Raw genomic sequence first — 13,164 nt, 5'->3', positions numbered from 1 at the left:
CTGTGATCCTATTCTCCACTTTAATGAGCTCAGCGTTTTTAGGTTCCACATATGAATGGGAACATGCAGTATTTAATTTATGTGCCTGATTTATTTCACTTAACATAATGTCCTCCAGGCTCATTCACATTGTTGGGAATGATGGGATTCATTGCTCTTTATTGCTGAATAGTATTCCATTGTGTATATATACATTCTCTTTATCCATTCATCCACTGATGGACATTTAGGCTGATTCCATATCTCTGCTACTGTGAACAGAGGAGCAATAAACACAAGTGTGCAGATATCTCTTTGACATACCTATATCTTTTCCTTTGGCTAATATCTAATAGTGGGATTGCTGGATCATATGGTGGTTCTGTTTTTAGTTTTTTGAGGAGTGATATGGTTTGGCTCTGTCTCCCCCCATATCTCATCTTGAATTATAGCTCCCATAATTCCCATGTGTCATGGGAGGGGCCCAGTGGGAGGTAATTGAATCATGAGGGCAGGCATGAGCCACTGCACCTGGCCCACTTCAATTTCTTTCATCAGTATTTTTGTAGTTTTCATTGAAGAGATCTTTTGCCTCCTTAGATAAATTTTTTCCTTGATACTTTTATTTTTATAGCTATTATAAGTAGGATTGCTTTCTTAATTTCTTTTTTAGCTATTTCATTATTGATGTAGAGAAACATCACTAAATTTTGTATGTCAATTCTATATCCTGCAACTAACTGATTTTGTTTACAAGTTCTAAGAGTTTTTTGATGGAGTCTTTAGGTTTTTCTATACATAAGATCATGTAGTCTGCAAAGAGGGGACAATTTGACTTTCTTTTCTCCAATTTAGATGCCCTTTTCTTTCTCTTGCTTAATTGCCCTGGCTAGACCTTCCATTACTATGTTAAATAATAGTGATAAAAGTGAATGTCCTTGTCTTATTCTAGTTCTTAGAGGAAAAGCTTACAGCTTTTCTCAAATCAGTATGATGTTAGCTGTGAGTTTGTCATGTATGGCCCTTTTTGTGTTGAGGTATGTTCCTTCTATAAATAATTTATTAAGAGTTTTTATTATGAAGGGATGCTGAATTTTATCAAATGCTTTGCTACATCTATTGAGGTAATCATATGGTTTTTGTTCTTTTTCCTGTTGATGTGATGTATCAGGCTTATTGATTTGCATGTGTTGAAACATCCTTCCACCCCCAGGATAAATCCCACTTGATCATGGTGTATAATATTTTTGAGACAGAGGAGGATCAATATGGCTGACTAGACACAGGTACTATGTGCCTCCTCCATAAAAAGGAACCAGAATAGTAAATAGATGCTCACATTTTGGACATATTATCTAGGAGAGAACACTAAGATTTACCAGAAAAGAGACAGGAAGCACTAGAAGTAAGGAAGGAAAGGGTTCAAGGCAGGTTGCCCAACCAGGGACCGACTGAGAGCCAAGAGAGTCTCCTGGATGAAAAGGAACAGTAAGAGAGAAACCCCCTTGGCTTGTATGATATAGCTATGGGGAAACTCTTGGCCCACTGGGCCTTGGGCCTGAAATAAAGAGCTTTCTAAAGATTATACAGAGCTCTCTAAAGATTGCACAGAGACGTTGATTCAGAAAGGGAATCAACACACAATCTTACAGGCATCTGTGACTAGACCAGCCTCCAAAAGCTGCCATTTTTAGAGCCTAGATAATGAAGATCTACAGACATGGCTGCAGCTGATGCACTGCTCCAAGAAAGTAGAGGGGAGACTGGGGGCTCCCATGTACCCCTGAGAGGGTCCCCACTGCCCTGCTATAGGCTCCCATTGAAACAAAGACATTAGTGGACTGCACTCCCCAAAGTTTCTTGCTCACATGCTTGCCTGGCAAGGATCCCACTCTCCCTGATTTGAGGCCCAAGCTGCCATTTTGAGAGTTTAATGCTGGGCTGCACCCCACACTTGGGCTGCATTTGGGCTGACATGGCTGAAGCTGCTGCCTGGCCAAAGGGGAACATGGAACAAGGCTATAATATGCATATCCAGGACAGTATCCACTGCCCTGCCACAGGCTGCTGTGAGAATGAAAAATGAGGAGACCATACTACTCACAGCTTTTTGCCTATGCTGCCTGGCTGAGGAGGACACTGCCCTCCCTGGCCACAGGCCCAAGGTGCCAATTTGAGAATTTAAGGCTGGGCTTCACCCCCTCTTCAGGTCGTTTGAGTTGATGTGGCTACAGCTACCACCCAGCCAAGGAAGGAAAAGAAAAATCAAGCTCCTCTTTACATATCTAGGACAATACCCACTGCCCTGCCACAAGCTGCTGTGAGACTCAAGCAACCACAATCCCCACAGCCTCTTGCCCATGCTGCTTAGGTAAGGGGGGCTCTGCCCCTTCTGGTCACAAACCCACAGTTGGCACCATTTTGAGAGTTTAATGCTGGGCTCTGTCACACCCATGGACCAAGTTCAAGCTAATGCAGCTGCAGCCATCACTTAGCCAGTTCAAGGAGAGAGGGGATGGAATTCTCCTAAGCACACTTAGGACAATACTCACCACCCTACTATGAGCAGCTTTGGAACAGGGGACTAGCCTGCCCAACCCATTGCAGCTATGAGGAACACCAACATGGACCACTTGGATACCCATGGGTTTCTCCACCACTACTGCTGTGACAACGGCTGTCCAGCAGCCTCAGAACCTACCTACACACTTGGCCCACCAATCCCCATACTACCTTCTAAGCAAGCCATCTAGAAACCCAAGAATAAGCCCCCTAGGACCCACTAACAATGGAGCCAGTGTAAGCCACCCTGTGGCATAAAAGCAGGCATATTCATCCCATTGCTTCCACTATTGGGCCCAAAGGCTGGCACAATTGGCATCCAAGTTCCCAGAAAAACTTCAACACAATCTCAACTAACTCTAAGCCACCAAGGAAATTACAGATACCAAGATACCACTGACCTGTGTATTGGCAAAGAAGTCATACAAAGATCACACTATTGCAGGCAACCAAATCAAAGCCAAAGTATTCTACTCAACCAACCCACATGTATTTGCAAGAAAAATTCTCCCCTACAAAAGCAATTTCAAAAAATTGGAACAAGTGACTGCTACAACCAATGCACAGATATCAAAAGAAAGAAACAGAAAACATGAAAAAGCAGGGAAATATGACACCACCAAAGGACCATAATTGTCCAGAAACAGATCCCAATCAAAAAAATTCCTTGAAATGCCAGATAAATAATTCAAAATATTGATTTTCAAGAAGCCCAATGAGATGAAAGACAAATCTGAAAACAAATACAACAAAGTCAGAAAATCAATTCAGAAAATGAATGAGAAATTTACCAAGGAGATAGATATTTTTAAAAAACAAGAAGAAATTCTGGAATTAAAAAAAATTAATTGAGAGAAAAAATACATTCAAAAGCTTCAATAATAGACTAGACCAAGCAGACAAAAGAATGTCAGAAGTTGAAAACAGATCTTTTGATATAATTCAGCCAGACAAAAATAAGATAACAGGAATTAAAAAGACTTTCAGATGTCTGGTTATTGCGGGATCTGGCCAGCAGCCTGCAATGCAATGGGGCTGTCTCTTTGTTCCCAGGTGGATCAGCAGGCCAAGAAATAATAGACACAAACAAGATGGCAAAAGTTGGGTCCAGGGGGTCACCAGCTTCTGGTCCCAAGGTGCCAACAATGCACTGAATATACCAGCATTTATTATTAAGTTTAGTGAGGGCGGGGGTAGGTTAGTGAGGGATTTAGGGTCATTTGACTATGAGGTGAGATGGTCACATGGGGATGAAGTAATTCTTTAACATAACATCTGAATGCAGAAGTACAGTATACAGGGATAAGAATTTATAATATAGTGTGTGCATCAATAATTTCTAACAGAGCTTTAAAACAGAAACACAGTCTTTCCATAACCTATGATTAGCAAGATATTAATCAGCAGTAACAGCTGCATCAAAAGCTGATTACAAACAATCCATAGAAACAAGACATGAAGCTGGACAACTGGTTAGACCAGAAATTCTCAGAAGGGAGTATGCCTTAACCCTGAAGAGGCCTAGAAGAGCTGTGGCAAGATGAGGGCATTTATAGCCCTATCTTATTCATATGGACAGGAGCCCCCACTCCCATGCATCCGTTTATAGGCTCTCCACAAGGGTCGCATTCCATTCCCAGAGCTATAAACATCTGCTTTTCTGGGATAGGAATCTTGGTGATGTGAAACCTCCCTGACTGCACATCCGTTCATAGGCTCTCTGCAGGGGAAAGCACATCACATGCTGTTGGCTCATTCTGGCAGTCCAACCTGGCATTGTCTTTACACAATCCTGCATGCAACTTTGTATTTACAATAATCAAAAGCATTTCATCTTTTATTCAGTAGCACTAGTTTCAAGGGGTCTTCCTACATCTGGTATTGCATAAGGTGACAGAACATATGAATAATCAGTATTCCTGGGGATGAAGAGAGATCACAATGTTAAGAAAACCTATTTAAGAAAATAATTCATGAAAACTTCCCCCAAGACCAGCAGGAGAGTCAGACATCAAGATACAGATACTCAACAATTCCCAGTAAAATACACTGCAAAAAAGACTTCACCACAGCATATTATATTTAGAATGCCTAAAGTCAAAGTGAAAAAAGAATTTGAAAATTAGCAAGAGAAGAGGATCTAGTCACCTATAAAGGAAACCTGATCAGACTAACAGTGGACATTTTAGCAGAAACCTTACAGGCCAGAAGAGGATGAGATGCGATTTTCAAAATGTTAAAAGAAAAAAAAAAAACTGTCAGCCAAGAATTTTATATGCTGCCAGAATAAGCTTCATCAATGAAGGAGAAATAAAGTCTTTCCCAGACAAGCAAATACTGAGGGGCTTTGTCACCTCCAGACTGACTCTACAAGAATGCTCAAAGTAGTCTTCAATATGAAAAGAAAGGTTGATATTTGCCACCATGAAAACACAGTGAAATATAAACTCACAGTTCTTATAAAGAACAAACACACAAAGGACATAGAGAAAGGAATCAAATGGCAACACAACAAAGTCTCATCAAACCACAAAGACAAAAAGAGAAAAAGAAAGGAACAAAGAATTTATGAAATAACTTGAAAACAATCAACAATACGGCAGGAACAAGGCCTCAATATCAATATTAGCCTTGAATGTAGATGGATTAAATGCTCCACTTAAAAGATACAGACTGGTAGGATGGATAAAAAAATATAATACGGCCAGGAGCGGTGGCTCATGCCTGTAATCCCAGCACTTTGGGAGGCCAAGGTGGGCGGATCACAAGGTCAGGAGATTGAGACCATCCTAACACGATGAAACCCCGTCTCTACTAAAAATATGAAAAATTAGCCAGGTGTGATGGCAGGTGCCTATAGTCCCAGCTACTCCGGAGGCTGAGGCAGGAGAATGGTGTGAACCTGGGAGGCATAACTTGCAGTGAGCTGAGATTGTGCCACTGCAATCAGCCTGGGCAACAGAGCGAGACTCCATTTCAAAATATATATTCGTATATATATAATCCAACAATATGCTGCCTACAACAAATTCACCTTACCTGAAAAGACACATATAGACTGAAAGTAAAGGGGTGGAAAATGATATTTGCAGCTGCCTTATGGAAAAGTGGCCAGACTGTTTTCCATATGGGTCCCTGGACCTTACTACTCACTGGACAGGGCCTATTGACCTGGGCCTCCAGCACCAACTATCCTGCCCCCACCAGATTTGTTTTGTCACTGGCAGCTATACATTTCTCTGGGAAGGAAATCCCATAGACAACCCTCAGCTCTTCTGTCATTGGAGTTGCAGCAATACTGTCCTTACTGCCTTCAGACTGGGGAAGGAAGGACCTGGTTGCTTCACTGGGACCTCCAGCATGCTGTAGCTGCCATACAGAAAGAACCCCAGTCACTCTTCCCTGTGAGCCCCTAGGTCGCTGCTCTTCACCAGACAGAACCCCTGGTTCAGGCCTGCAGTGCAGCAGCCCCCCACCCAGATAAACATTCACATTGGCAGCAGCTCTACACTTCTCTGGGCTGGTGCTCCCAGAAGCAACTGAAAGGCCCTCTGTCATTGTCACTGCAGTGTGTATTGACCTCAGCCTGGAAAGCAACAAAGACCCTAAGTGCTATACTCACATCTCCAGCATGCCACAGCCACCCTAGAAAGAAGAGGCTGGTCTGTCTTCCCTGTGAGGCCCCCATCCTTTTGGCTCATCACCAGGTGGAGCCCCCAGACTTGGGCCCACAACAATTGCCCCATCCCAGGCTTGTCTTTCCAATTAACATCAGCTCAGTGTTTCTCTGAAGTGGAGTCCCAAGAGAAAAGTGAAAGGTCCTCTGCTTTTGTGACTGTCAAGGTTCTTGTCCCTGCTGGCCCCAAGCTGGGGAGGGAACAAAGAGCCTTAGCTCATGCCAGAAAGTCCTAAGCCAAGATCTTCCAGGCCTCAAGTGGGAAAGGAGCCCAAACTCTCAGAAGACTGAGAGGGGGCATGGCTACAAATTCAAAGAAATACAAAGGAGCCACATGGCTAAACAAGAACCTACTTACCAGCCATTATGCTCAAGTGCCATGTACTAGATCACAGACCAAGCTTCAACACCAAAAATGCTTTGCTAATATACCTTCTGTGAAACCAAGAACAAGAATTCAACCACATATAAAGGTCTTAGAAAAAGTCTTGACCCTCTGAAAATATCTAGAATCAGTCAGTGACTATACTCAAATTACACCACAGTTAATGGAACATCAGCCCACACTGATAAGAAAAAACCGGTGCAAGAATTCTGACAACTCTAAAAACAAGAGTGTCTCATTACCTCCAAATGGTCACACTAGTTCCCCATCAAGGGGTTCTTAACCAGAAGGAAATGGCTGAAATGACAGACATAAAACTCAGAATCGGGATAGCAATAAAGATCATTGAGTTTCAGGGGAAAATTGAAACCCATTCCAAAATATCCAGTAAAACTATTCAAGAGATAGAAGATGAAGTAGCAATTTTAAGAAAGAACAAAACCAAGCTTATAGAACTGAAAACCTCACTACAATAATTTCATAACACAATCAAAAGTACTAACAGCAAAATGAGCAAGCTGAGGGAAGGCTCTCAGGGCTCAAAGACTGATTATTTGAACTAAGTCAGAAGAAAGTAAAGAAAAAATATTCTTTAATGAAAAAAACCTTTGAGAAATATAGGATTACATAAATAGACTGAATCTGACTCATTGGTGTCACTTTAACAGTAGACACCTGGCAAGGCTGAGTGTGCACCTTCTGTTGCAGATTAGCCACTTGTATGATAAGAGCTTGTGTCTGATTTTCAGCAATTTCAGCACTTTATCTACAGAAAAGAAGACTCTTATCCAGGGCACCCCTAGAAACTGAGGCTAAGTTATATGCTTCTGGAGCCAGGAGACATAATCCCTCAGCTCATCCTTTTGTTTCATGGCTGAGTCCAGTAAACTTTGGAGCAACTAACCAACTTCATTATAAAATGAATGAAAACAAACATACAACATACCCAAGTCTCTGGGACACAGCTAAAGCAATCTTAAGATGAATGTTTATAGTGCTCAACATCCACATCAAAAAGTCAAAAGATGGGTGGAGCCAAGATGTCTGAATAGGAACAGCTCCAGTCTACAGCTCCCAGCATGAGTGACACAGATGATGGGTGATTTCTGCATTTCCAACTGAGGTACTGGGTTCATCTCACTGGGGAGTGCCAGAGAGTGGGTGCAGGACAGTGGGTGCAGTGCACTGTATGTGAGCCAAAGCAGGGAGAGGCATCGCCTCACACAGGAAGTGCAAGGGGTCAGGGTATTCCCTTTCCTAGTCAAAGAAAGGGGTGACAGACGGCACCTGGAAAATCAGGTCATTTCCACGCTAATACTGTGCTTTTCCAATGGACTTATCAAACGGCACACCAGGAGATTATATCCCGCACCTGGCTCAGAGGGTCCTACGCCCATGGAGCCTCACGCTTTGCTAGCACAGCAGTCTGAGATCAAACTGCAAGGCAGCAGCGAGGCTGGGGTAAGGGTGCCTGCCATTGCTCAGGCTTGAGTAGGTAAACAAAGCCGCCAGAAGCTCGAACTGGGTGGAGTCCACCACAGCTCAAGGAGGCCTGTCTGCCTCTGTAGGCTCCACCTCTGGGGGCAGGGCACAGACAAACAAAAGACAGCAATAACCTCTGCAGACTTAAATGTCCCTGTCTGACAGCTTGGAAGAGAGTAGTGGTTCCCCCAGCACGTAGCTTGAGATCTGAGAACGGGCAGACTGCCTCCTCAAGTGGGTCCCTGACCCCCAAGTAGCCTAACTGGGAGGCACCCCCCCCAGTAGGGGTGGACTGACACCTCACACGGCCGGGTACTCCTCTGAGACAAAACTTCCAGAGGAACGATCAGGCAGCAGCATTAGCAGTTCACCAATATCCACTGTTCTGCAGCCACGGCTGTTGATACCCAGGCAAACAGGGTCGGGAGTGGACCTCCAGTAAACTCCAACAGACCTGCATCTGAGGGTCCTGACTGTTAGAAGGAAAACTAACAAAGAGAAAGGACATCCACACCAAAATCCCATCTGTACGTCACCATCAACAAAGACCAAAGGTAGATAAAACCACAAAGATGGGGAAAAAACAGAGCAGAAACACCAGAAACTACAAATCAGAGCACCTCTCCTCCTCCAAAGGAATGCAGCTCCTCACCAGCAAAGGAACAAAGCTGGACAGATAATGACTTTGATGAGTTGAGAGAAGAAGGCTTCAGAAGATCAAACTACTCTGAGCTAAAGGAGGAAGTTCGAACCAATGGCAAAGAAGTTAAAAACTTTGAAAAAAAATTAGATGCATAACTACAATGGATAACTAGAATAACCAATGCAGAGAAGTCCTTAAAGGACCTGATGGAGCTGAAAACCATGGTATGAGAACTACATGACGAAAGTACAAGCCTCAGTAACCAATGAGATCAACTGGAAGAAAGGGTAACAGCGATGGAAGACGAAATGAATGAAATGAAGTGTGAAGAGAAGTTTAGAGAAAAAAGAATAAAAAGAAATCAACAAAGCCTCCAAAAAATATGGGACAATATGAAAAGACCAAATCTATGTATAATTGGTGTACCTGAAAGTGATGGGGAGAATGGAACCAAGTTGGAGAACACTCTGCAGGATATTATCCAGGAGAACTTTCCCAATCTAGCAAGGCAGGCCAACATTCAAATTCAGGAAATACAGAGAATGCCACAAAGATACTCCTCGAGAAGAGCAACTCCAAGACACATAATTGTCAGATTCACCAAAGTTGAAATGAAGGAAAAAATGTTAAGGGCAGCCAGAGAGAAAGGTCGGGTTACCCACTAAAAGAAGCCCATCAGACTAACAGTGGATCTCTTGGCAGAAACTCTACAAGCCAGAAGAGAGTGGGGGCCAATATTCAACATTCTTAAAGCAAAGAATTTTCAACCCAGAATTTCATATCCAGCCAAACTAAGCTTCATAAGTGAAGGAGAAATAAAATACTTCGCAGACAAGCAAATGCTGAGAGATTTTGTCATCACCAGGCCTGCCCTAAAAGAGCTCCTGAAGGAAACACTAAACATGGAAAGGAACAACCAGTACCAGCCACTGCAAAAACATGCCAAATTGTAAAGACCATCAAGGCTAGGAAGAAACTGCATCAACTAGTGAGCAAAATAACCAGCTAACATCATAATGACAGGATCAAATTCACACATAACAACACTCATCTTAAATGGAAATGGGCTAAATGCTCCAATTAAAAGGCACAGACTGACAAATTAGATAAAGGGTCAAGGCCCATCAGTTTGCTGTATTCAGGAAACACATCTCATGTGCAGAGACCCACATAGGCTCAAAATAAAGGGATGGAGGAAGATCTACCAAGCAAATGGAAAACAAAAAAAAAGCAGGGGTTGCAATCCTAGTCTTGGATAAAACAGACTTTAAACCAACAAAGATCAAAAGACACAAAGAAGGCCATTACATAATGGTACAGGGATCAATTCAAGAAGAAGAGCTAACTCTCCTAAATATATATGCACCCAATACAGGAGCACCCAGATTCATATAGCAACTCCTTAGTGATGTACAAAGAGACTTAGACTCCCACACAATAATAATGAGAGACTTTAACACACCACTGTCAACATTAGACAGATCAACGAGACAGAAAGTTAACAAGGATATCCAGGAACTGAACTCAGCTCTGCACCAAGCGGACCTAATAGACATCTACAGAACTCTCCACCCCAAATCAACAAAATATACATTCTTTTCAGCACCACACCACACCGATTCCAAAATTGACCACATAGGTGAAAGTAAAGCACTCCTCAGCAAATGTAAAAGAACAGAAATTATAACAAACTGTCTCTCAGACCACAGTGCAATCAAACTAGAAATCAGGATTAAGAAACTCACTCAAAACTGCTCAACTACATGGAAACAGAACAACCTGCACCTGAATGACTACTGGGTACATAATGAAATGAAGGCAGAAATAAAGATGTTCTTTGAAACCAATGAGAACAAAGACACAACATACCAGAATCTCTGGGACACATTCAAAGCAGTGTGTAGAGGGAAATTTATAGCACTAAATGCCCATAAGAGAAAACAGGAAAGATCTAAAATTGACACCCTAACATCACAATTAAAAGAACTAGAGAAGAAAGAGCAAACACATTCAAAAGCTAGTAGAAGGCAAGAAATAACTAAGATCAGAGCAGAACTGAAGGAAATAGAGACAGAAAAAACCCTTCAGAAAATCAATGGATCCAGGAGCTGGTTTTTTGAAAAGATCAACAAAATTGATAGACCACTAGCAAGACTAATAAAGAAGAAAAGAGAGAAGAATCAAATAGATGCAATAAAACATGACAAAGGGGATATCACCACTGATCCCACAGAAATACAAACTACCATCAGAAAATACTATAAACACTTCTATGCAAATAAACTAGAAAATCTAGAAGAAATGGATAAATTCCTCGACACATACACCCTCCCAAGACTAAACCAGGAAGAAGTTGAATCTCTGAATAGACCAAAAGCAGGCTCTGAAATTGAGCCAATAATTAATAACTTATAAACCAAAAAAAGTCCAGGACCAGATGGATTCACAACCAAATTTTACCAGAGGTACAAGGAGGAGCTGGTACCATTCCTTCTGAAACTATTCCAATCAACAGAAAAAGAGGGAATCCTCCCTAACTCATTTTATGAGGCCACCATCATCCTGATACCAAAGCCTGGCAAAGACACAACAAAGAAAGAGAATTTTAGACCAACATCCCTGATGAACATTGATGCAAAAATCCTCAATAAAATACTGGCAAACCGAATAGAGCAACACATCAAAAAGCTTACCCACCATGGTGAAGTGGGCTTCATCCCTGGGATGTAAGGCTGGTTCAACATATGAAAATCAATAAACGTAATCCAGCATATAAACAGAACCAAAGACAAAAACCACATGATTATCTCAACAGATGCAAAAAAGGCCTTCATACAAAAAAACTCTTCATACTAAAAACTCTCAATAAATTAGGTATTGACAGGATGTATCTCAAAATAATAATAGCTATCTATGACAAACCCACAGCCAATATCATATTGAATGGACAAAAACTGGAAGCATTCCCTTTGAAAACTGGCACAAGACAGGGATGCCCTCTCTCACCACTCCTATTCAACATAGTTTTGGAAGTTCTGGCCAGGGAAATCAGGCAGGAAAAGGAAATAAAGGGCATTCAATTAGGAAAAGAGGAGGTCAAATTGTCCCTGTTTGCAGATGACATGATTGTATATTTAGAAAACCCCATTGTCTCAGCCCAAAATCTCCTTAAGCTGATAAGGAACTTCAGCAAAGTCTCAGGATACAAAATCAATGTGCAAAAATCACAAGCATTCTTATACACCAAAAACAGACAGACAAACAGAGAACCAAATCATGAGTGAATTCCCATTCACAATTGCTTCAAAGAGAATAAAATACCTAGGAATCCAACTTACAAGGAATGTGCAGGACCTCTTCAAGGAGAACTACAAACCACTACTCAATGAAATAAAAGAGGATAAAAACAAATTGAAGAACCTTCCATGCTCATGGATAGGAAGAATCAATATTGTGAAAATGGCCATATTGCCAAAGGTAATTTATAGATTCAATGCCATCCCCATCAAGCTACCAATGACTTTCTTCACAGAATTGGAAAAAACTACTTTAAAGTTCATATGGAACCAAAAAAGAGCCCGCATTGCCAAGACAATCCTAAGCCAAAAGAACAAAGCTGGAGGCATCATGCTACCTGACTTCAAACCATACTACAAGGCTACAGTAACCAAAACAGCATGGTACTGGTACAAAAACAGCTTTATAGACCAATGGAACAGAACAGAGCCCTCAGAAATAATGCCGCATATCTACAACTATCTGATCTTTGACAAACCTGACAAAAACAAGCAATGGGGAAAGGATTCCCTATTTAATAAATGGTGCTGGGAAAACTGGCTAGCCATATGTAGAAAGCTGAAACTGGATCCCTTCCTTACACCTTATACAAAAATTAATTCAAGATGGATTAAAGACTTACTTGTTAGACCTAAAACCATAAAAGAAGAAAACATAGGCAATAGCATTTAGGACATAGGTATGGGCAAGGACTTCCTGTCTAAAACACCAAAAGCAATGGCAACAAAAGCCAAAATTGACAAATGGGATTTATTTAAACTAAAGAGCTTCTGCACAGCAAAAGAAACCACCATCAGGTGAACAGGCAACCTACAGAACTGGAGAAAATTTTTTCTGTCTACTCATCTGACAAAGGGCTAATATCCAGAATCTACAATGAACTCAAACAAATTTACAAGAAAAAAACAAACAATCAACAAGTGGGCAAAGGATATGAACAGACACTTCTCAAAAGAAGACATTTATGTAGCCAAAAAACACATGAAAAAGTGCTCATCATCACTGGCCATCAGAGAAATGCAAATCAAAACCACAATGAGATACCATCTCACACCCGTTAGAATGGTGATCATTAAAAAGTCAGGAAACAACAGGTGCTGGAGAGGATGTGGAGAAATAGGAACACTTTTACACTGTTGG

Source organism: Homo sapiens, chromosome 8 (genome assembly GCF_000001405.40).
Source record: "Homo sapiens chromosome 8, GRCh38.p14 Primary Assembly".
NCBI lineage: Eukaryota > Metazoa > Chordata > Mammalia > Primates > Hominidae > Homo > Homo sapiens.
Note: the sequence above shows the minus strand (reverse complement) of the source record.